General features: G+C 44.0%; 1 protein-coding gene across 6 annotated transcripts in view; it reads left to right on the forward strand.

The window, feature by feature from the left end:
* Positions 1-26,253, forward strand: part of CDH13 (cadherin 13) — a 1,173,672-nt gene that overhangs the window by 577,628 nt on the left and 569,791 nt on the right. For all 6 annotated transcript variants that reach the window (NM_001220488.2, NM_001257.5, NM_001220489.2 and 3 more), the window contains one exon: positions 12,749-12,901. In NM_001220488.2, the coding sequence (NP_001207417.1) occupies positions 12,749-12,901 (153 nt within the window). The remainder of the gene's footprint in view (positions 1-12,748; positions 12,902-26,253) is intronic.

Consider the following 26,253-nt stretch of genomic DNA (forward strand, 5'->3'; position numbering starts at 1 on the left):
TGTCCGTGAGCCCTGAACTGGGATGCAGATGCGTTTTTATGTGTCTCTAAACCCTGCTCTGCTAAATACTGTGTGTGTTAATCAGGATAGGTTAGGCTTTGGTGACAAGAAACCCCAAATTTCAGTTGATCAAAAAAACAAAAGCTTGATTAAGCTCCATGCCCTCAGAAGGTTAGGTGGGAACTGTGTTCCTCGTTGTCATTGTCCTTTCTTTGGGACCCAGGTCCATGAAGTCACTACAATTTGGAACATTGCTGGTCACCATGAGGAAGGAAAAGGGAATGTATCTAGGCACACTAGAGTTCCTAATGCTTTCGCCCACAATTAACTGAAGTGACACATATCACTTTCACTTACACTTCACTAGCTAACGCAAGTCCCATGGCCACATCCAGGTCCAAATGGCCAAGGAAGAACACTGCTGTGTGCCCAGAAGGATAGGAGCCCACAGGGGCTGAGGCAGCCACCATGATTACTTTCTGATACCATAAATCTGATCTGTGAATAGAAGAGATGGGAGGTACAGGAGATCCAGGGTTTTCACCAGAGATTCCAGGAGCCACCTTGACTTAAAGCAGAACAACCAAAGGCAAAGCCAAGGAGAGTGTTTTCAAAGGGCTCAGTGATCAGGAGAGTGAAACACACAGCATGCATTAAGAAATCAGAAATTCAGAAAGAGACACTTACAAATACCTAGTTATTCACTGGGACAATAAGGGATGTAAAATTATGGTACTGATTGGCAATTTGGGGGGTTTGGGCCCAGCAAATAAAATGCAATGATTGAATGACCCAAAGATGACTCCTCCTCCTCCAATCTGCTGAGGCATCTTTCAGCGCATCTCCCATGTTATGTAAAATGAGGTTCATAGAGTTTATTGAGCAGTGGTCCCTTGAAGGCCATGAGTACTCTGGAAGTCAGAAATGATCAATAAGTATTTTGAATGCAAGAAAAGAAGTTGAGGGGAGATCATATGTTACAAGAAATGGTGCCCAAGAGGAAAACCTTTTTTTTTTTTTTTTTTTTGAGACAAAGTCTTGCTCTGTTGCCAGGCTGGAGTGCAGTGACGTGATCTTGGCTCACTGCAACCTCCACCTCCTGATTTCAAGCGATTCCCCTGCCTCAGCCTCCCAAGTAGCTGGGGCTACAAGTGTGCACCACCACACCCAGTTAATTTTTTATATTTTACTAGAGACGGGGTTTCATTATGTTGGCCAGGATGGTCTCTATCTCCTGACCTTGTGATCCACCCGTCTCGGCATCCCAAAGTGTTAGGATTATAGGTGTGAGCCACGGTGCCCGGCCAAAGGAAAACATCTTATTCAAAATCATGAGAGAGAAACTGACCATGAGGCTGAGCGAATGTCAGTGTAGGTTGGGATATATTATTAACAGGCATAGACTGAGCTCTTACAGTGAGAACAGCCTTGTGCTGGTTACATATTTCATTACGGGGTGGCCTGGTGTGCTTTGGGAAGGACAGGCATGAAAGGGTGACTCATACATGGCCTATGGGTCCTATGAGGAAATTTACCTCAACCAGGGGAGGAGGACTTTCGGCAGCTTTTCCCTTCTCTCTCTGTCTGCTTCTTAATATCACAACCATCTTCTCAAAAACAAACACAAGTACTGATTGCCTACGAAGCCCTCTGGCCGTGATTTCTCTGACAATCTCAGAATTCACCTAAGACTTCCCTCTGCACCATCTCATGCTATCTTCATCTTCATCTCATGAAGGTTCATATTGCAGCTTCTCATGCACATCTCATGTCCCCAGGCCAAGGGGCTGGGCATGAGATCCACTGCACACCTCCTCCAGTGTCACCCATGACGTGCTGCAATGGCAGATCCCTGAGGAGCTGTGCCCTGGATCTCATGCCCAGCTCCAAGATCAGCATGCCAGGCATTCTCACATGCACCCGACAGTTTTGTCCTTTTAGGAAAATGTCGAGATACATTCATTCACTAGATGACAAATGTTTGAGGAATCACTGTGTGCCAGAAACTGGGTTTGGCTCTGTGGGATACCAGCGAATACAATCAGACGTGGCCACTGCTCCTAGGACCACAGAGTCTAATCAGAGAGATGGCTCTTAAACCACAAGAGTTACATAACATTTCAACAGTTGTGTTGTGTGGGTGAGCTAGAAAATTTCAAAATTATATACTGGAGGAATTTGACTTGGGGGGACCCATTATTTTCTCCAATCAAGAGACCAAGGACACTGACCAGAGTATTTTTCTTTACAGAGCCTCCTAGTGCCTACAATTCACAAAAGGGCCTTGACCTTCTCTGTGCATTCAAACCACAGTAGGTTAAACAAACAAACACATTAAGGGAGGACTGGATAAAATCACCTGTACTCAGACTAAAATACTTCGGAATGTGACAGATCTGGAAAGCAACATAAAAGCAAGGACATAGAGGATCTGAATAGTTTAATCAGTTAATACTAGAAAAGATAGATAAATATGGAACTATGTGGCCTACAAAGAGAAAATACTATTTTTTTTAATTGTGGTAAAATGTACATGGCAGTGGCATTAAGTACATCCACATTATTGTGCAACCATCATCCCCATCCATCTCCAGAACGTTTTCATCTTCCTCACCTTAAACTCTATACCCATTAAATGCTAACTCCCCATTCACTGCCTCTGGAATCCTCTGTTGCACTTTCTGTCTCTATTAATGTTACAACTCCAGGTGCCTCTTGTAAGTGGAATCAGACAATATCTGTTCTTCTGTAACTGGCTTATTTCATTTAGCATAATGTCCTCAAAGTTCATTTGTGTTGCAATAGGTATCAGCATCTCCTTCCTTTTAAAGTCTAAATAGTATTTCTTTATATTTACACACATGTAGACACATACAATCTTTACATATGTACACATATAGGTACACATACACTTTTTTAAATCCATTCATCTGTTGATGGACACCTGAGTTGTTCCCACATTTTGGCTATTGTGAGAAATCCTACAGAATGCTTATTCTTTCCGTGTGTCTATGGGTCACTTAGTAAAGATGATATTGCACCTGGCCAATAATAAGTTTTAAAATAACATTCAAAGGTAGAACTGTTATTAGCCACATTAGTATATAATTATTTGGAAAAAAATAAAACCCCTGCAAATACTTAGAAATTAACAAATACTCTCCTTAAAAAAAAAAAAAAAAGACTGAAGCCTAGTGAAAATAACCAGAAAAAAGGGCACACTCTCAGAAAATAATGCAAAAAACCCAACAATGAACATTGACTTCCTTAGAGCTCAGTTTAAGTTAGACTTAAGCATAATCTTAAGAGTCTGCTATATAAGAAGGAAACCAGACTGGCAAAATGACCACTAAAAGATGAAGGATCTGGATGGTAGATTCAGATCCCCTCATTGTGTGTTGCTGGAGTTTTATTTTTCTTCCCAAGTGCTCCATCTTGCCTGTAACCTTAGCGCCTTCCCTGGGATGATGGGAGCTCCATTTGACCTTGGTGATGAACACAGACAGCCCTAGGTGGCGTGAGCACTGCTGATTGATAAGGTGGGTGTGGAGCTTCTGTCCTTCTCAGTGGATTGCGAGAACTTTGGCTCCATGTTTCTTCACCAGGGTATGGGGACTCTTGGCCATGAGCTTTCCTTAGTTCCCTGGCTAATTTATGACCTAGAGGTTGAACATGGTTGAGCAGCATAAGGGTGAGAGAAAAGCATGGTACTCCAGCTACCCAGACTGCTGAATGGCTGTGTCTTCAATTTCAAAGGCATGGCAAGGACTAACCCACAGCTGAGAATTAATTAATGCTTACAGATTACCTTACAGAAGCAATCTAATGATAAAACACAAATGCCTCTGAACAGCTATAGGTAAAGGCAACAGTGTTTTTTTTTTTCCTATTTAACGTAGAGTAGAAAACATCTTCTAAATTAGCATATGCATGTAACTCCAATAATTCCTCTTACATGTTTTTAAAAGTTGTCTTTTCCTGTGTAAGTAATATAGGCTCATTTTATAAAACTGAAAATATTATAAGGTGAAGGAAAAAGTATTACACCTACCTTCATCCTCTAAAGACCAGTGCTGTTCACATGTGATTTGTTCGCTTTGGTAGCCAGGAAGGAAGGTCTAATTATTTCCTAGTTTTGCACCCTTGTGATAATAATGCATATGTATAGTTATCATCCTCTGAAAATGTGTCCCTTGATTTTCTACATAGAGGAAAACTAGGCGCATCAATCTGGTTGGATGTGACAGGGAAAGGGTACTAGAATTTATTTATCTAGAAGCTGCCTTGCCTCACAAGCAGTGTTCACTTGGAGGGTCTCCATTTAAAGGGACCCCTGCAAATTATAAGGATAGGGAGGGTATTAAGTCCCTTTTCAACTCCTAAGCATTACCACTGCCTGGGAAGTTCACTATGGGGATGTTCTGCTGAACCCCTATCAACTCCAGTGGGGGTGGCAGCAGGTTCAAGATGCCAAAGAGGAGACCTGGAGCCAGCGATGAGACGAGGGGTTTTATTGGATGCTTCCATACAGGGGAATCCAGTGGTGGCAGGCTGAACAGGAGAACCACAACCACCTGTAAAAGGCATGCAGTTTATATAGCATTTTCAGTTAGCACCCTTTCCCTAACATCCTTCACCTGGCAACTTTCATTCCACCTATGAGTCAGGGCCTGGATCTGCCGTCCATGTTCCATGGGACAGGCCAGGGGTTCAGATGTTCCTCATAGACAAGGAAGGAGCCTCCAGGTCGGCCACTCCCAGATTTCCTAGCTTGGAACAGACATCCGGGTGCATCCTCCACACAGAGTCATTTTCAGGGTATGCATAAGTTATTGCTATCAGGTGCATTTACCATGCAGGGGAATTGTAAAAAGAGAAATAAAGGTCTGAAAATGTGTCTCCAGGTAAAGTGGCTGCATTTTCCAAGAAAAAGAAAAAGGAGGTTTGTATGACAGACCTTATTTTTAATTTGTGAGTTTATGAAGCATTTTATAATCATATAAAAACAGGCAAATAAAGTTGTACTTCTTCACTCAGAGTGTTAATCAAGTGTCTTCTATGTTCCAAGCCCTGGGAATGTGAAAGAGAATAAGAAAGCAACAGCCTGAGGGACAGTTACCACCACCCACCAAGAGGCAAGGTGCTCCCCTAGCTTTAACAGACCTTGCAGGCGAGGAGGGCTAGAGCTCAGGTGGATGAGGTTAAGTCTGCATGGAGTGGGCAGGAGAAAGGGTCAGGGGAAGGTTCAGTGGGTAAGTAATCGCCGGCACCAAGTCCAGGAAGATGAGGGCATCCCCAGCAGAGTAGGTGGGGGATGGCCATCCAGCTAAAGAAAGGCACAGCTCAGAGGGCTGTGCCTCATGCTGGGTTGTGGCTTCGGACTGGAGAAGCAGGTGGAGACCCATCAAAGAAGAGCTCTGAGATTTTACCCTCTGGCAGAGGGAGCCATTGCAAGTTTTCATGGGGTGTTTTTTGTTTGTTTGTTTGAGACAGAGTCTCGCTCTGTCATCCAGGCTAGAGTGCAGTGGTGTGATCTTGGCTCACTGCAACCTCTGCCTCCCGGGTTCAAGCGATTCTCCTGCCTCAGCCTCCCGAGTAACTGGGACTATAGGCGCCTGCCACCACGCCTAGCTAGTTTTTGTATTTTCAGTAGAGACGGGGTCTCACCATGTTGGCCAAGCTGGTCTTGAACTCCTGACCTCAGGTGATCCACCTTCCTCAACCTCCCAAAGTGCTGGGATTATGAGCATGAGCCACTGTGCCAGGCCGATTGCAAGTTTTCATATGGGTACTGCCCCAGTCAGATGTGGGTTTGCATTTTAGAATGACCATTCTGGTTGCAATTAGGACAGGAGATGGGATAAAAGAGAAATCAGAAACATGGAGGCCAGGGAAGAGACTACTTAATATTCATTTACGTATTCATTATGCAATGTTTATTTAAAAGCCCACCACGTACGGCATACTGTTCTAGGCTCTGAGGACAAAGCAGACAAAGTAGCTACTTGAGATCTGGGTTAAGGAGCAGAGGATAGAGGTTGGCAGAGTGTGGGAGGAGGACAATGACTTGCAGAACTTGGCAACTCTGTCATTCTGATACTTCAAATTCATTTTCTATACAAGGAAAAAAGAGTAACCGATTAAAGTGCAATTCAAGAAAGTGAGAACCTACAGGGAAGTACCAAAATATACAACGAAACGCCACAGTCACACATGGCAGTGGGGGATCCTGGATTGGATTTTGGATTAAAAAAAAAAAAAGGTTACTAGAGGCCGGGCGTGGTGGCTCATGCTTCTAATCCGAGCACTTTGGGAGGCCGAGGCAGGCAGATCACAAGGTCAGGAGATTGAGACCATCCTGGCTAACACAGTGAAACCCTGTCTCTACTAAAAATACAAAAATTAGCTGGGCGTGGTGGCACGCACCTGTAGTCCCAGCTACTTGGGAGGCTGAGTCAGGAGAATTACTTGAAACCAGGAGGCAGAGGTTGCAGTGAGCCAAGATCACACCAGTGCACTCCAGCCTGGGTGACAGAGCAAGATTCCATCTCAAAAAAAAAAAAAAAAGGTACTAGAAAAACTGATGAAATCTGAATACATAAAATCTGGAGTCTAGTTAATAGTCAAGTATCAGTGTTAATTTATCAGTTATGACCAATGTTCCATTTTTACGTAAGATGTCAACATTAGGGGAAATTGGATGAAGGGTACATGGGAACTCTGTAGTATCTTTGTAATAGTTCTGTAAATCTAAAATTACCACCCGAAGTTTATAAATGAATACACACATATACACATACAAACCTCAACCTCAACCACATTGAGTAGAAATAATTGTATAATTCATATATAATGACCTTATTTATGTAAAACCACTCAAAGCTGCTATATAGTCTATGAGTTCATATGTATGCAAATACATTAAAAACACACACCACATTGTATCATTCATTACAGCTGAGAATAGAGGTAGGCATGGGACTTTGCAGGGGAACTGAATGGAACATTGGCTTTGTCCATATTGTGTCACATCTGTAAAAGGCATACCGTGAGAACACCCTTAAAATCAAATCAAGGAGTCACTACCTGCTCCAGGCCTCAGTACTCCCTGCCCCTGCCCGGATGCAGAAGACACTGGTCCCAGCTATGCGACGCCCACCTCCCCCCCCCAAACAGCCAGCCAGGAAGTCTCTTTACCCAGGTATGAGGCAAGACTCCTGTGTGCTATTTACATGCCCTTCCAGAGTGTTGACACCAGGGGCTCATGTTCTTTCTCATCCTTAGCTATTTTTTCCATTCCAACTCAGAGGACAAGAAAAAAAAACATCCCACTGTGAAAAGAAGTGTGGAATTACAAAGAATAATAGGAAGTTCTCGCTAACTGTGAAGCCCTGCTATGGAGTATATAATGGGCCTTAACAGCTGCTGCAACAGTCGAGACTCGTGGCAGGGTTTGCTTTGGCCAGAGGAGTGCACTGGATTTCTTATATTTCTTGACATTAAACAACAACAAAGGGCTGCAGGCTCAGCTGCTGCAGCTGTGGAGTTCCCAGGAGTTGAGCACAGCATAATCAAGGTGGTCTGGAAACACACTTGATTTGCATGGAGTGGTTTTGAAGCATGGCTGAGTGTATCCTTGGGTTATGGTCATTGCATACCTCCCATCCCCCAGTTCGTGAAGTTGGAATATGCTGGGGTCCCTCTGAAAACCCAGCTAGGCACCAAGAAGCCAGAGAGGTGGTGGGTAATTCAGAAGGGCTTGAGCTTCCTCCTGGATCTAAACTAAGCCAAGACACTGAGCTTTCCCCTGAAGAGGGACTTTCCCCACTCCACTTTCATGCTTTCCTCGCCAAGCTTCCTCCAAGCCATGGGGTGCCTTTAACACACGTAGAGATGTTGCATCTAGTGACTTTAAGAAAAACCAACTCTGCTTTCTGAGGTCTTAGAAACAGGTTTTTAAAAGACTTCCTGTTAGTGTTATATGTTTAAAATAGGTCTAGAAAGAAGGTGGCAAACAGACCCAGCCTATTTTTAGCAGAGGGCTCCAAACAGTAGCGGTGGAAACCAGCATCAGTGATACTCAACAGGGATGGTGCTGAAAGCTGCCCAAAGCAGTGGTCTTCAAACTTGGGTATGCGTGAGAATCACCTGGGGAGGGGGGATTGTTAAAGCTCAGATTGCCAGCAATTCTCCCCCTACCCTGATTTCTGATACAAGAGGCTTGGGGGAAGCCTGGGAATTTGCGTTTTTAATGAGTTCCCAGTGATGCTGATACTGTTCCAGTGAATCATATCTTGAGACCAATTAGTCTAGAGAAAGCAAGGCCCCTACTGGAAGTGACACCCACCATTTCCCTGTGCTGGTGGTCCCATAGGGCCTCTCACTCTGGGAACACCATTCTTGGCTGTGGGTGTTTCTTCAAAGTGAACATAGCTCTGAGGAGCAGGAGGCAGGTTCAGCAGCCACATCCTTAAGAACATAAAAAGTTGAAGAGAGACAGAAGAGAGACAGACGTGTGCAGTGCTAAGCTGGGGCCCTCACAATGGGGACTGGCTTCTTTCCTGGGGAATAAGTAATTTCAATTCAGCAGCAGGAGCCAACTCAGCTAGGTCCTGCCTCTAAGACCTTTGTGTCTGTACCACCAAGTGGCTCAAGCTCTCTGAGAGAGGGCAAGAAAATGACTGAGACCCACCCTTGGCAGCAGAAGGGAAAGTCACCCTGGGATAATTTCTGGGTCTAGAATTCAGCTTTCTGTGCCGAGTGGCAGGCAGAGAAACGGGAGGGTGGTGATGTTTGTCCCAAGAGGCCCATTCCCCCACCCCCTCCTTGTTTCTTCTAGAAGGTCTGGGTGCTGTGTTCCCAACTTTTTCTGAGCAGAGAAGGGTCAAGAAAAGATAACTAACAGCCCGGAAGGCTTTTCCTGGCAGGTCTTCACCAGCGGGGCCTGTGTCTGGCAGATAGATGGGTCAGAGAAGCCCATTCTTGGGAAGCATGATTGCTTCATAGCTCTTGTAGAATTCCCATGTTCGTTGCTCGTCAGAATGCATTGTATGTTAATAGAATCTTCAAAAAGGACCTGCTCATCTCAGGTGTGCTTAGGAGAACAAGAGGAAGGAGTTTTAATCCATATTTGGGCAAAGGTGGTAATGAGAGGTGAAGCCAGCTGGACTTCCTGGGTGGAGTGGGGACTTGCAGAACTTTTCTTAGAAGAGGATGGTAAAATGCACCAATCAGCACTCTGTAGCTAGGATTGTAAAATGCACCAATCAGTGCTCTGTAGCTACCTAGAGGTTTGTAAAATGCACCAATCAGTGCTCTGTAAAAACGCACCAATCTGCACTCTGTGGCTCGCTAGAGGTTTGTAAAATGGACCAATCAGCACTCTGTAAAGTGGGCCAATCAGCACTCTGTAAAATAGACCAATCAGCAGGACATGGGTGGGGACAAATAAGGGAATAAAAGCTGGCCACCCCCAAGGCAGCAGCGACAACCTGCTCGGATCCCCTTCCACACCGTGGAAGCTTTGTTCTTTCGCTCTTCACAGTAAATACTGCTGCTGGCAGAGAGGGGTGAAGCAATAATGACCACAGTGACAGAGAAGAGGTGAGTGTGCTTGGTGACCCCTTCCCACGCAGGGAGCTGTTTCCAGAGCACTTCTCTTCTGGGAGGCCTGTGAATTTTGTTATTAAAAAGGAAACCTAGGCCGGACGTGGTGGCTCACACCTGTAATCCCAGCACTTTGGGAGGCTGAGGCGGGTGGATCACATCAGGTAAGGAGTTCGAGATTAGCGTGGCCAACATGGGGAAAACCCATCTCTACTAAAAATATAAAAATTAGCCAGGCATGGTGGCGTGTGCCTGTAGTTCCACCTACTTAGGGGGCTGAGGTGGGAGAATCACTTGAACCTGGGAGGCGGAGGTTGCAGTGAGCCGAAATTGCACCACTGCATTCCAGCCTGGGTGACAGAGTGAGACTCTGTCTCAAAAAAAAAAAAAAAAAAAAAAAGAGGAAACCACCTATTCCCTCAGAAAAGGATAGAGATACCATTCTTACCCATTAACAACAGTGTAATTTTATTGTGATGATTAATATTGGAATTATTAGCTTTGATTAACTGAGCTCCTTCTGTGTGGCAGGACATGTACTTTATAGATGCCATCTCATTAAACCCTCGGCAATGCTGGGAAGTAAGTGGTGTCATCTGCACTTTAAAGATGAGGCGATGGACCGTGTTCATACTCACACAGTGGATCACTGGGAAAGCTAGGATTGCAACATATAGCTGTCTAATCCGTGGAGTTCATTCTCGCTACTTGCCAGCCACAGGGATCCAATGGTGAGCCCAGTAAGCTGTGGCTCTTGACCTCATGGGGCTTCCAGGCAGCAAGTAGAGGGGTCAGTGGAAAAGTATCAGTTGGATTAATCAAGTCAAGCAATGACTGAAAATTATTTTCATCAGAGAGTATCAAACACCTCTTTTTTTTTTTTTTTTTTTTTGAGATGGAGTCTTACTCTGTCACTCAGGCTAGAGTGCAGTGGAGCAATCCCAGCTCACTGCAACCTATGCCTCCCAGATTCAAGCGATTCTGCTGCCTCAGCCTCCAGAGTAACAGGGATTACAGGTGTGCGCCATCACGCCCAGCTAAATTTTCTGTAGTTTTTGTAGAGACGGAGTTTCACCATGTTGGCCAGGCTGGTCTTGAATTCCTGACCTCAAGTGATCCGCCCACCTTGGCCTCTCAAAGTGCTGGGATTACAGGCATGAGCCACCACGCCCGGCCCACATAGTTTATTTTTAATTTTCTTTTGTATCCAATTTTCAGTTACTCTTAAAAATACAAACATATGTAATTGGTGTTTAGTCAACACTCAGTGTATTTTAATAAACAACATTTTTTAATCGGAAAAAAAAAAAACCTGTAATGCCTTGAGTGATCCTGCCAGATGAACCCTGGCGTAAAGTTCATGCTGCCTTAGGCACCATTGCCACCTGGTGTCAGACATCGGAATTGCAGGCTTGGCGGCAGCTAAAGTGGCGGGGGTGGTGGGGTGGTGGAGCAGGGGGCGGGCAGGACCCATTTTGATTAGGAGAGGGCAGGTTTCCTGTCTTAGCCACCTAAACCCTCCAGGCGCTGTTGAGTATGTGTCAACAGGTGCCTGTTCGTTTGTAATTTGGTGACAGCTAGATCTGTATCAGCTTTCTTTTATCTGTGTGTCCTGAATGATTATTGTGTTCATGACCTTTCAATTGTTTTGTTATAATCAAATTAACGTTTGAAGGTTCTGATGATAAAGTGACATAAATATAGATGAATACTTGAGGGTAAACTCTAGATTCCACTTATGCCAATAATAGTTCTCTTTAGTTGCACATCTACATAAAAAGACCACCCCCCATACTTTGACCCCAACTGCTTCTCAGCCTAACCCTCTACATGCTTAAGCATATGCCAGTAACTCACGATTTGCAAAACTTTCCAGACTCTTCCTTGTCTGCCTGCTGCCTTTGTCTGTGCTGTTCCCTCTGCCTGGAACTACTCTCCTCCACCTTTCCCTTCCAAATTTATTCTTCAAATGTCAAATCAAGGTCGACAATTTGTAGGAAAATTCCATAAAGTAAATTCAGAAACGACAGTGTTGTATGTTGTATTGCAGTGTCTCTAGAGAATGGAAGATGTGGTTCTGAACCCATTTTTATCTCTTTCATAGCTTTGGCCATGGCCAGCTTGCTGACTCATTCTATCTCAGTGGTTTCATCCATTAAGTGGAAATAATAATGTCCTCTGCCTCCAGCATTGAAATATATATATATATATATATATATATATATATATATATATATATATACACAACCCTAATTTGAGGTTTATATATAACATATATATTTTATTTATTATATATATTTAATACATAGGGATTTAATATATGTAATATTTAATATATATAATGGGGTTTAATATATATAATATGTAGGGTTTAATATATATATTAATATATAATACATAGGGGTTTAATATATATAATACATAGGGGTTTAATATATATATTATATATCATATTTAGGGGTTTCACATATATAAAACCCCTAAATTGAGGTATCTATATATAATATTGATGCATATATATTTAATATATAGGGGTTTGATATATATAATATTTAGGGGTTATATACATATTATATATATAAGCCCCCTAAATAGATGTGTGTATGTGTATATATGTGTATATATGTATATGTATAAACCTTTTCTGATGAGACAAAGTGCTTCCTCTGCACCATGCCTAGTACCTAGTAGAAGTGACAGGGCAGGTGACACTGGATTAGTGGATATATGTAAATACCTGGAATCTTGATCAATGCATGCGCAGCAAATGGCTTCCATTACCTTTTTTGTTTTGTTTGCAGATAAATATTTTTTTGAAAAAAATATATTTCGTGGAGTTAAAAATAATAAAATGTCCAACTTTGACTGAACTGGCATTATTGCCCTCCTTGATCCATCACTGTATGTCACCCGAGTGCTGGTAAGCTTCCTCAGCTGCCAGCTGCAAAGACGTGGATATTAGGATGAAAGGCGTTAGGCAGTGATGCTATTTCTGGTGCTGTTACTTTAGTCAAATCTGTGTTCACCAGGTACCCATGTGCTGGCACCTGTGATTAGTGAATTGCTCATGGGAGTATGTTTGCAATGTGCTTTCTCTGTGTTTTCCAGGCAGTTTTAAATGTCTCTCTGTTTTTCTGACTAGGTAGTCGATAGTGACAGGCCAGAAAGGTCCAAGTTCCGGCTCACTGGAAAGGGAGTGGATCAAGAGCCTAAAGGAATTTTCAGAATCAATGAGAACACAGGGAGCGTCTCCGTGACACGGACCTTGGACAGAGAAGTAATCGCTGTTTATCAAGTGAGTACCCCTCTCCCATGCCCACCCTGTGCGCAGAAATGTGGCTTTCAAAGATTGTTTTCTTCCCACTGAGCTCATTATTTCTGTGCCTCATCAAACCCGGGACTGCATGGCTTTAGGGTGTTTCTGTGGGAGCTGAAGTGGATGGAATTGAACCCTGACAGGGCAACAGTGGGGGGTCTTTATCTCATCAGTAGAGCCCTCCAGGCCTGCATCAGACTTTGGGTACCAGAGACCAAGAAGGGAGACCCTGGGGGCATCTCAGAGGAGGTCAGAACCCTTAGGGCAACTTTGGCTTTCCAGAGACCAGCTTGATGATCTAGAGCTGGAAGAGGTATAAACCCCAAGACCTGATATAATTAGCAAGACATGGTCCTTAGGGTGAAAACAGTTGCTAAATATTCAGCCATAAAGGAGTAGTTAAATTATGGCAGATTTTGCAAGGCAGTTTTCTCTAGCCATTTAAAATGCTTCTGAAGAAGTTGTGTTATATGGGAGAGATTCAAGATATTGAATGAAAACAACATACAGACACATATGGTATCCTCATTACCAATGGAGTATTTGCACATATCATGAGGTGTATATGTTTAACAAAAATGATAAAGAAAAATCAGTGGGTTAATGGTTGTATTTGGAAGTGATTGATTGATTGATTGATTTGGTTTTCTTACCTACTTAAATGCATTATTGTGAGTTTGAAGTGAGAAGATACTATAAGGGCGTTGGAGGCATAAAGTGCTGGACAGACATAGAGCAGTAGCATGATGGTAGGTAGTAAAGTCCCCACCCTCCAGCAGAACCCTTACTGGGCAATGCGCTCAAGGGTCTCAGGCCCTGGGAGGATGCGGGTGCTTTCCAGATGTCCATCTCGGAAGCCTTGCCAAAGCCTTTTCTGAGCATTTGCTGGGGGAGTCACCTGTCAATGAGAACTGAAACGTGAGCCATGAGTCCCAACTTATACTCAAGGGGGAATCAGGTAGTTGTATAAATTGAATGTTGGTGACCTCAGAAATACCCAGTTCCAGCTGGCCTTGACAGTAACCAGAGGTGACCTGGCAGCTATTGGGGTCCAGCTCCTGTAGGAACAACCAGCAGCAGACTATGGATAGATGCCCTCTTGTCTTTCTGTGCCCATCATGGGAGTCTCCAAGAAAGTTCTGGCACAAAAAACTAAGGAAAGATACAATAAATTTCATAATTTCTTAACAGAGTGATCAAGAGCTGTGGGATCTGATATGGTTTGGCTGTCTCCCCAATCTCATCTTGAATTGTAGCTCTGAGAATTCACACGTGTCATGGGAGGGACCCAGTGGGAGGTAATTGAGTCATGGGGGTGAGTCTTTCTCGTGCTGTTCTCGTGATAGTGAATAAGTCTCATGAGATCTGATGGTTTTATGAATGGGAGTTCCCCTGCACATGCTTTCTTGCCCACCGTGTAAGAAGTCCCCTTGTTCTTCCTCCATCTTCTGCCATGATTGTGAGGCCTCCCCAGCCATGTGGAACTGTGAGTTCATTAAATCTCTGTCCTTTGTAAATTACCCAGTCCCGGGTATGTCTTCATTAGCAGCATGAGAACGGACTAATACAGCATCTGAGATCCTCCATTCAGGTCTCAGTGCTGCTGCGTACTGAGCTGTGGGACCTTGAGCAACACTCTTACCCTCCCTGATCTTGGGATTCTTGTCCATAAAGTATGATTACAGCTAACGCTTCTGAGGATTATAAAAAATGAAATTACTAGTTTTTGCTAACTAGTAATTGCTAAACAGCTAATAAAACAGAGCTTCGGTTGCAGCTTGGAGCTTCCCATACTTTTTAAAAACTGAGGCCATATAATATTACGGTAGTTAAAAGCATGGATTCTGCACACAGCCAGATTGGCTGCATTCAAATCATGGCTATCATGTACTAGGTGTGGAAACTTGACAAATTGTCTGCCTCAACTTCTTATCCTGGAAAATGGGAAAAATAATAATGATGTCATAGGATTTCATAAGGATTAAATGAGTTAATACATATGAAGCATTTAGAAAATGCTGGAAACATAGTAAGCATCATATAATCTTCCTACATGGGTGACAATAATCAATGATATTAAAGGTGAAGGAAGGTAAGTGAAAACCCAAAGGATTCCAAGTTATAGCCCAATCTCTCATGTCCAGCACAAACTTTCCTTGAGTAGTCTTGAGTTTTTACTATACTTTTATAGTCTATGTCATAGCATATGGATTGATTGAGCAATTCATTCATTTTACATACATTTAATTGAGTGCTTATAGGGTAAGGGACACGCTTCAAGGTGTTCGGAGGATACAGTAGCAACAAGACACACTGGGTTCCTTGCTTTCATGTATCTTTTATTCTAGTTCTTTGTTTCGGAATAAACTGGCTTGAATTCCTCTCTTCTGTGTGTAGGTGACATGGCAGGAAGTTGTGCCTGGTTTGTAACATGGCTTGTTGATAACACCAGCACAGGGTCATATACCCTCATTGGAAAGGGTACTGGTATTTAGTGGGAATGCAGTTTCTTACACAAGTACTTGGGTTACTTACGACTGGCAGACTGGGGCCCAGCCCTTGGCAGCGCACTCTTCAATGGGCTCATGAGGGCCTACTTTCTGATGCCGTTTCCCTCCGTGCTTCATGCACTTCAGTTCGGTCATTGTCCTGTTTTCATCATACCCGCACTGAAGCTTCTTACAGTTGCTGAAGCTTCTTCCTTGAAGAAGCAAGTTTGAGGAAGAGCCCCGATCATTCTGCGGTTCTTTATTTTTAGATGATGAGAACTGGGTTACTCTCATGTTGGTCTACTTTGGGCACAGGAATGTTGCAATTTCCGTTCATTCCAAGTGCCTGTTTAAGAATAAGTTACTATTTTAGTAGTACAGCTAGATCCATGGTATTCATGGTAGTCAACACGGTTGGGAGCAAATGTGGTTCTTCAAAGAGGAGAATCCTGGGTCTCCAAATCCTCACATTTTAGTTTCTAGTCTTGCAAGTTTAAAAAGGAGAGAGCCGGGTGCAGCACACCAACATGGCTCATGTATACATATGTAACAAACCTGTACGTTGTGCACATGTACCATAGAACTTAAAGTGTAATAATAATAAAAAATAATAAATAAATAAAAATAAAAATAGAAAAACAGAGCAAGAAAAAAAAAGAAAAAGAAAAAAAAAAAAGGAGAGAGCCTGCAGGTGAATGTGTTGTCATCATAATAGCGCCAATGTTTCTGTTGTTTAAAGTTAAGTGCTGCTCACATGCAAGTACGTGTTGATGTATTAACGTTTTCCAAATCCAACAAGAAATATTTTGATCTAAACCTCAGGGATTTGTATGATAAGAAATAATCTGGAATACATTTGTCCTTGGGCCCCTGAAAGTGCATCACCATTGAAGCTCCTGTTTATTGAACACTGCATGGCAGATATTATGCTAAACACTTTGTATAATTCTCTTATTTAATCCATTTCACACAAGAGACTTAAGAAGTAGGTGTTAACACCATTTCACAGATAAGCAAATAGCTGTTAAACAACTTTTTCAAGGTCTCACAGCTGGCATGTATTGGATTTGGGATCCATATCCATTTCTTTTCAGCTCCAAAGCCCCACATTTTCAATCACTAAGAAACACTCTTCCTATTTTATCCCCAGCTAGATTTTATATCTAATCTGCAAATTCCTTAGCTCCTTTCCTAGGAACTCTGCTTACCGGGGCTGGGAAGGGAGTTTGGCTGGCTGGGTGATCTATTACTTTTTAAAAACCATCCATTTCCGTGACCCACTGCCATCTTGCCACTCCTCCCTGCCCCAGCCCCCAGAAAAACTTCCCCAGCTTCTGACCCAAAGTAGCACCTGGCAAAATAATTTATCTCTTGCAGTATTGGAAGCTGACATACTAATGCAAAGCCTCCTGAAATATTACTCATTATTATGCATTTTGCCAGCATTTGAGTGATATGTGAACTCTTCACTGGAATAAAGTACTGTAAATGATTCATGAATGACCAAGTTTATGAAATTCTATAAAAATATTAGCAGGTGGTAATGATTCCCTCACACTGTGAATATGATCTACTGGCTGCAAATTTGCCAATATGGGATGACGGGAGTGGAGTGGGAGACCATCTGTTAGGCGAGTGGGGGAGGAAGACGGTGGGGGGGCGGTTGGGATGGGCTCTGCAGGAGGTGCAGGGCAAAACAGGAAGCATGGCCAAGACCATGGTAGCAGGCAGGTGTCCTTGGCAGGAGACCTTCACACTGATCTGTTGTCCAGTGGGAGATGCTCAGATAACTGGGAATGTCAGAGCTGGGTGGGAGAAGAGAGGAGCATATGGAAGAAGAGGCAAAACTAACTTTATTGAGCATCTATTAAGTGCCCAAGAATTCCCTAGATCCCTGACATACACAGACCTATGAAAATGGTTATCTTGTCTTCACTGATGAATTAGATGAGGGCTAAACAGGTTCCCAAGATGTATTTTTACTATTAATGTTGGGGTGAACATGTCTTGAACATTTACAGTGTGCCAAGGCTCCATGCCAAATACTCAGATGATGGTCTCATCTCATCTTCATAAAGATAACCTTGATACGTCTATCACACTCAATTCTAGAACAGGTAACTGGAACCACCTGTGTTCCTGGCCTCAGAACATGGAAAGGACCTCACTGCCACCTTCTGAGTATTTGCTCACATTTCATACTATATAACTTGTTCTTTTTTGAGCCAATTTCTTGGTCAAGTTTTGAATTTGTGGTCAAGAATGTTGTCATAAAATTGAAATACAACTGGCATTCAGAGGTATCCTTGCTCATATATTTTCTTTTGTTAATGTGGCTCTACCCCTATTCTAACCCATCTGTAGCTCCATGACAATTTGGCAGAATACACATTAAAGTGAAAGCTGCTGCCGTCATGCGGAAATAGGTGTATCATAATGTCAGTGCTTATAAGACGATTGGGAGATATAGATGTACCCATATTAGAGAGTTATTTAAGTGATTAACCTGGTTATAAAAACGTTCATGTTATGAACAAATGATGCACATATTACCTTGATGGGATTGTACTACACCTGATTAGACTTGTACTTGGAAAGGACCCCAGCCCTCACTAGTAGGGACATGCTATGTAAGTCTTCTTTGTCCTCTACTCTGGTCTCCCCCATTGCTACCTTTCTTAGCCAGGGTTCTTGGTGGCAGTCAACAAAATCACCTCCAACTAGTTTACAAAGGAAGAGATTTATTAAAGAGTACAGGTAGCCATTAGGATTGCCCAAAGTGCCAAGTAACCTAGCTGACAAGGCCAGATGAGGTGGTGCTACAGGAAATACCCACATATGAAACTATTCTAGGGCAAGGTTTTTCAACAGTGGCACTATTGAAATTTGAGGCTGGGTGATTCTTTGTTATGGGGGGCTGTCCTGTGAATTGTAGGAGGCTTAGCAGCACCAATGGCCTCTACCCACTAGATGCCAGTACCACCACCCCCCACCCACACACACACCTAATCTGGACAATCAGATATGTCTGCTGATATTGCCAGTTGTCCTATAAGGGGCAAAATTGAGAACCACTGTTAGAGAGAAGTGTCATAGTCCATTTTGTACTGCTGTAACAAAATATCGGAGCCTGGGTATTTATAAAGAAGAGAATCGTATTGGCTGTCATTTCTAGAGGATGGACAATCCAAGGTCAAGACACCAGTAGGTTTGGTGTCTTGTAAGGCCATTCTCTTCTTGCAATATGGTGCCTGGCACCTTGCACCCTCCAGAAGACAGGAAGGCTGAATTCTCATATGGCAGAAAGTGGAAGGGCCAAAAGACAGCACCTATTCCTGAAAGCCTTTTAAATTAAGGCATCAAACCTACCCATGAGGGTGGAACACGCATGCTCTAATCACCTCTAAAGGGCCCCACCTCCCAGCACCATTACATTGGCTATTACATTACAACAAGAGTTTTGGAGGTGACAGGCATTTCAACCATAGCAAAGAGTCAAGGTCGCTGCTGGCTCTTCCTGCCACTTTGCTCTGATGCTCACAACTGGATGTGGCAGCCCTGCTTGGGTTACCTAAAAGAGCCAGGTGACTTTGCCAAGCTCAGAACCTCTGATCTGCAAAGCACAGCTGTGGCCTCCCGCCACTCACTTCCATCCAGTCTCACGCTGGTGCATCTGCAGGAAGAACCTAGACCGTAAGCAGGACTCTAGGTGCAAGAGAGCTGGGTCAACATAGTTTTTAGTTTTTCCAGCTCCCTGGTACAGGAAAGTCCGCTTGCCAGAGGACTGGAGTGGTGGTTGTCATCTACCACATTGTGATGACATGAGTGCAATTTTTTTAATTCCATGGGTTTTTGGGGAACAGGTGGCGTTTGGTTGCATGAGTAAGTTCTTTAGTGGTGGTTTGTAAGATTTTGCTGCACCCATCACACGAGCAGTATACACTGAACCCAGTTTGTAGCCTTTTATTCCTCATTCCCTTCCCACTCTTCCCCCTTGCCAAGTCCCCAAAGTCCATTGTATCATTCTTTTGCCTTTGCATCCTCACAACTTAGCTCCTAATTATGAGTGAGAACATATGATGTTTGGTTTTCCATTCCTGAGTTACTTCACTTAGAATAATAGTCTTCAATCCCATCCAGGTTGTTGCAAATGCCATTAATTCACTCCTTTTGACGGCTGAGTACTATTCTACCATATATATATGTATGTATACACACACCACAGTTTCTTTATTCACTCATTGATTGATGGGCATTTGGGCTGGTTTCATATTTTTGCAATTGCGAATTGAGCTGCTATAAACATGTGTGTGCAAGTATCTTTTTCGTATAATGACTTCTTTTCCTCTGTGTAGATACTCAGTAGTGGGACTGCTGGAGTGCAGTTTTGTTCCAAGTGAGAGCCTGTCAGTGAGAAGCTTAGTTGCCCAAAGGCAGGTAACAGGCTTACACCTAGGAGACTGTGTTCTCAAACCTGTGATCTTCACTTCTGTCATCATTAGGGTCCTATCAATCAATAACACACATGTGACCTAGGCAAGAGCCCTGAGTGGGACAAAACAAAGGATTTGGGTTAAAAGCCCAGGCTTTGGAGCCAGACCTACGGAGGGAAGAATCTCGACTCTCCTATCACGTGAACCATATGAAATTGCCATTCTTACAGGTGAAAAAGAGGTGAACATTGGCAATTTCATGGTTCATTCTAATACTCTGACACCTTTAGCCAGTTACTTCTCAGCCTCTGTTTTCTCATTTTTAGAATGAGAGTGAGATTACAGTATCATCTCCTAACAGTGTTATCATTAGTGGGTGTTTATCACTCAGCCCAGTCACTTAGTAAGTGTTCCGGAATTGGGAGCCAGCCTGCCACATATCGGTTTTATAGTTTAAGCTCCCTGCAAGTACAATGGAGTTGAAAGCACTTGTGAGGGAGCAGCTAGCAGGTAAACAGTTGAATGTCAGTAACTCTCTGTAAAAGGGAATCATCTCACTGGGCAGTTTCAAACTGTGGCCCCAGACTAACAGCGTCACCTGGGAACTTGTTAGAGATGTAAATTGTTAGGTGCTTTCCCAGGCCTGCTGGATCAGAAACTCTCGGGGTGGGTCTCTCCATCTGGGTTTTAGCCAGCCCACCAGGTCATCCTGACGCTCACTGTAGTTGGAGGAACACAGGTCTAAATAATCACACTCTTGGGTATTAACATCATGGCAGCTGACCTGATCACTAATTGGCCTTGATGAAGATGACCTTTGAACCTGTTTCGTTACAGTTCTGGTGGGGTAACATGTGCCTCAACTGTGCTTATTTCTCCTGGTGCTCCGGTGTGCCATTTGAAAGCCCTCTCCATCCAATTCCAACTCTTCCAAACTGCTTTCTTTTTGTTTCATTAGTGGCACCTGAGAGCCAGGCAAATTTGTCCCAGGCTTCCTTGCTGCATCCTGCCTAGACTTTGGATGACTGTTAAATGCCATGTTACTGCGTGTTTGCTTGTTTCTCAGCCAGAGATGAAGATGTCCTCAGAAGATTGGAGTTGGAACAGGCTGATGTAATTCCTGATAGGGGAAATTAGCCTTGGGGTCGGCAGAACCAGCTTTATCTGCCTTAGTAGATCTGTGACCTTGAACAAAGCATTTGTGGTTCTTGAACTTTGTTGCCCTTAGAATCATCTGGGGAGCTTTGAAAACCCTGAATGCCCAAGCTGCACTCCAAACCAATTAAATCAGGATGTCTCAGAGTGTGACCAGGTGTCAGTATGTTTATAAAATTCTCCAAGTTTTTCCATTGTGAAGCCAAGTTTGAGAAACTGTTGTGTTACTATAACTTGTCTGTACCCCAGTTCGTTCATAATTAGGAATTAATATAATGATACCAACCAGCTAGGTGTGTGTTTGAATATCAAGCGAGACAATGCAGGGGTTTCTAACACAAAATAAAAGTCAAAGATCTCATTTCTCCCAACTGCTTCACTCTGAGCAAACATCTGAGGCTGCTTTCTAATGCCTCCTTGGACACAAACACTTAAAAATAGGAATTCTGAGAAACAGAATTTAATAAACAAACGCTTGTCTTCTGAGTGCTTGTGAAAAAATAATTCGAGGTTTGTTCACAGCCCCTCCCTACCCCTGCACCTCTGATCACCTCCACCTGACTTTTTCCAGTTCGTCTCTTCGTATTTCCAAGCACTTCATTTTATTACAACCCGGCCTTATCTGTCAGGTGCAGCTGGCGAAACTGAGGCATGAAGAGGTTAAACGACCTTGTGGAGGCAGCTACATACCTGGATTAGACTGCTGAGTTGCTTCTGACTGATTATTTATTTGGTCCACTAAGCAAAGCTGCTTCCTCACTCAGGGCTATGGAAACATATTTTTCTCTGAACTTCATTAGCACAAACTCCTCAGAAGAGGTTCAACTTGAATCTTGGCAGGTGGGAGAACCCCACATTCCTTAATTTTCTCTTCTCCACCCCCACACTGGTCTTTGCACCTGTGGCACCTGGCCCACACTCGGTACTTAGCACACATCCATGGAATGAATAAATGACAGGATGGCTACCCTTTTTTTTCTGTTTTAGTTGTCTAACTACAACCAGGTCTACTTCATCATGCTGATTCTTCAAATTACTTGGCGGCATTTTCTTTCCCAAGGTGCGGAAGCATCGCAATACATTGGGACTGCAAGAGCCTTAGACCCATTTTGTCCAGCCCAGCAGCCCAGCGAATTTACAGGGAACAAGTTAAATAACGGGGCAACTGCTCAGACTCCCAGGACTTGAGATTCCCTGGCTATGACGAGCATTGTGAGTGACACTCTGGGACCAGATCCCCAAATGCAGGGGCACGGTGGGGGACCATCCATTCCAGCTCCCGCCACCCATTAGCCATCTATATGCCTTCAGCTATCAGCATAAAGATATTTATTTTTATTTGGTAAAAATGAGAAGGGAGAGGAAGAAGAAGTGCATTAGTGGTGTGGACTGGAAGACAGAGGAGCGAAAGAGGGGATACGGACAGGTTGTCCTCCTACGCTGGGACCCTGAAGTGTGTTGAAGACCCTTGGGTTCGAGAACAGAAAATGATTGAAGTCATGTTTTACGAAAGACTGCAAGATTGAAAGTGAAGGCCAGAAGCTAATTAAATTGATCACAAACGATTGGGTCAGAACCCGGATGCAAGCACCACAGCTATGGGAACAGGTGGCCAAGGATTACACAGTTGGAAAGAGAGGCCCCCTCTGACACCTGTAGCACTGTGGCATGGGAAGTGCTGGTCTTCAGGGGTGGGTCACCGTGGTGACATCTCCCGCAGTGGTCCTGATAAGGGAGGAGGCAGCAGCAGTTGGCACATGGTATGGAAGCTGACATTGATCAGGGGGCCCTTGTGAAGCCAGCCTTGGGCCTCCCAGGAAATACCTGGGGAATAATGTTGTGATGGGGGCTGAGTTCCTGTGGAGCAGGTTGGAAGCTGGTGGTGCCTATGATCAGGGAATAAAGGCAAATGTGTCCCATGTCGTCATGCAATGCTGGGAAGCCAGCCAACCTCCGTGTTACCCATCTCGATTCTGGCCTGCCCACTGCTTCCTGTTTAATTGAAGCAGATGCGTGACTGCTCTGGATATGAAATACGGATAACCTGTGAGCAAAACCCCCAGGTAAAAAGCACGTGGGGGAGCATGCTTTTTGGCCAGCTGAGTCTTCTCTTCCAGTCTAGAGAAGTGGAGGAAAACAGGGGAGCATCTGGGGACCATAGAGCCAGCGTCCACGCCAGGCAGTGCAGACTCGGCAGCTCCATCAGAAAGGGATTCAGCTCAACCTGGGGGCCGATTCATTCAAAGGACATTGATCTGGCACCCAACTTGTGTTAGCCACTATTTCACAGTGCTGGGGATACAGCAGCAAACAACCACCAAATCCCTGCTTCATGGAGCTCTGTCAATCTACAGGCATTAGTGAGTATGTGACGATCAGGTGGCCCTAAGTGCTGGGAATAGACACGGAGCCGATAAAAGATATAGGGTGGTGGGAGACACTGCTTGGTCCAGGAAGGCCCTCCTGGGAGGGGCCGTGAGAAGGGAGGCCAGATGGAAAGTCTCCTGAGGGCAGGAATGAGTGCTGTCCTTATCTCTCATGTACCCCTGACAGCTTTTCTCAACCATGGATGCTTCAGTCCCCTAGCAGATGCCTGGCAGTGTCTGCATATGTTTTTAGTTGTCACAACTGGGGCTGTTATTGCCATCTGGTGGGTCAGGCATGCTGCTCCACATCCTGCTGTGCACAGGACAGTCCCCACACGTCCGCAGGGCCGTGCTCTGCAGGCTCCTTGCATGGCGTTGGCCACTCAGAGGGTCTAAAATTATTGCATGGTTTGTTTGCTCAGTATTCATCAGGTTTGGATAGTCAAGAAGTCTGTCTTCATCTCTGGGGCACCAGAGATGAAGGAAGGGACACTATCACTGTTCTTGTAAAGTCCACACGCTAGCTGGGGCAATGATTTGCAACAATCGACTATATTATCTTGTGAGGAGGGTCATGTTACAGGTTCAGCCTTCGGAAGGACATGAGGTCAAAGCAAATTCTCAAGAATGAGGAATGACAGGAGACAGAGACGCGGACGGGGCAGGAAGGGTTTTGTGAGAACAGCTGATGGAAGAAAGCATTTAATGGCACCTCCAGCGGAGTGCGTGCAGTTTAGAGCAGACGAGGGTGGGGCCATGGCAGGGCTTGACTAGGAGCAAAGGTGGGACTCGCATGCTAAGGAGTGAGCTTAGACATGATACTCCTGCGGCGAAAGGGACAAATGATGGAGGATTTTAGGCTGAAAGTGACATGATCAGATTTGGATTTTACAGGGACTGATCCGGTTGACATGCAGGGGATGAATGGGAGACAGTGAGTTCTGTCTCTGGGTCTTTGAAGCCAGAGTGACACACATCAGATAGATGCAGTTTTCACCCAAGAAGACCTGGGTAGTGAATGGGATTAGTCCAAACTCATAGTGAAGATATTAAATATACCTTGGGATGAAAAGAGTAGCAGGAATGCGGACTTGTGGGAGGAGGGCAGGCCATACCGGGCCTCACAGGGCAGGATAAGGTGCTTGGATTTTACTCTAAGGAAGCCTCAGCCTCAGAGGGTTCTCAGGAAGGGAGTGACATCCAATTTGCATTTCAAGAAGATAAGATTTATTTGAGCAAGTCAACAATAACATTCAAATTGTCATGAAATAGAAATTAATTCAAAAATGCATTCATTTATTGAGGCCCCACTACCAGGCACTGGGGAAAAGAGATCAAAGAGAAAACTTTGCTTTCCCTGGAGCTCTGCCTTCAAGTTTCCCTCTACACATAGCAAACCAGAAAACCTTTATTTTTTAATTCACAAGTAGAGGGTTGGGGAGCATTTTATGCACTGACTCGTTCTCCCCATTTAGTCTGGCATAATTTCCATGCCAAGTAAATATTCTCTCTTAAAATTTTAAATTTTGAGGGTTTTTTTTTTCTTCTACGGGGGTTTATCAGTGGGCTCTCTCAAAATTTATTAAACACAGTTGGCCAGAGCTGTTAGCTGTTGATTTCTTTGATTGGTATCTGTTTTAAGATCTTTATTATCCAGAAGGCGTATCTTTTCTCCCAGTGAGGCATTAGGTAGTAAAAGAGATCATTTCCGTATTTTTCTTTCTTCCAAAGGTGCAGATGTTTGCATAATAGGCTCCTTTAAGTAAAATCCACCTTTTCTGGAATCATGTTGGAAAGCCTGCAGGCCCACGATGAGGGACTATCTTATATTCTTTAACTCAGGAATCCTCGTTCCTGTTTCTGCATGTGGGACCAAACTGAGCCATGTTCAGTGTGCCAGACCAAACACTCTGAAGCTGGACTAGAGTAATAGCAAACTGGAGAGTCGCATCCTCGTTAAATGATGGCTTAGCATGTAAAACATTCGTGTGACTGGATAGTCAGTGTTTGACAATAAGATGCTGGGAGGAGAGCCCTGTGCTCTTTTGAAATTGATTGTGTCCTCCTTCAATGGATCATTAATAGTTGGGGAATCCACATTTAAAAGGGGTAGACCCACAGCAGAGGTCTTGGTCAGAGGTCAGAAAGGCTGAGAAAAATGGGCAGCTGGCATTTCACAATTAGTCGTGAATGCATTTTCTATTCCTTTCGAGTTTTTATTGCAGAACCTAATCATGAACTCCACCAAAGTCACATTAGTTCCTGTTCAGTGTTTCTTATCTCCTGTGATGTGAGGCTCTGGTAATTAGCAGGGCTGTTTCTGCTCCCAAATAAAAAGGAGATATATTTAGAAAATGGATGTGTTAACCCGGGAAAGCAGGCACAGGAAGGGCTGCATGAAGTATCTTTCTCTTGGTGAGGTAGGCTGCAAGTTGATGTGGAAGAAGTTCTAGATCATACTGTGTGTTCCCTGCCTGACCACCCCCGCAAGCCTCTTGACTCCCTATTCCCAAATCTGGAATTATTTTTAGAAAGCTGTCCCAGGCCGGCACGGTGGCTCACACCTGTAATCCCAGCACTTTGGGAGGCCGAGGCTGGAAGATCACCTGAGGTCAGGAGTTTGAGACCAACCTGGCAAGAGTGGCCAAAACCCCATCTCTACTAAAAACACAAAAATTAGCTGGGCGTGGTGGCAAGCGCCTGTAGTCCCAGCTACTTGGGAGGCTGAGGCAGGAGAATCGTTTGAACCCAGGAGGTGGAGGTAGTGGTGAGCCAAGATCATGCCATTGCTCTCCAGTCTGGTGACAGAGCGAGACTCTGTCTCAAAGTTATCCCAGAGGATATCAAACTGAGAAGACAAGTATTTCTTGGGAATGCCACAATGTGGA

The sequence above is a fragment of the Homo sapiens genome, chromosome 16 (genome assembly GCF_000001405.40).
Source record: "Homo sapiens chromosome 16, GRCh38.p14 Primary Assembly".
Classification (NCBI taxonomy): Eukaryota; Metazoa; Chordata; class Mammalia; order Primates; family Hominidae; genus Homo; species Homo sapiens.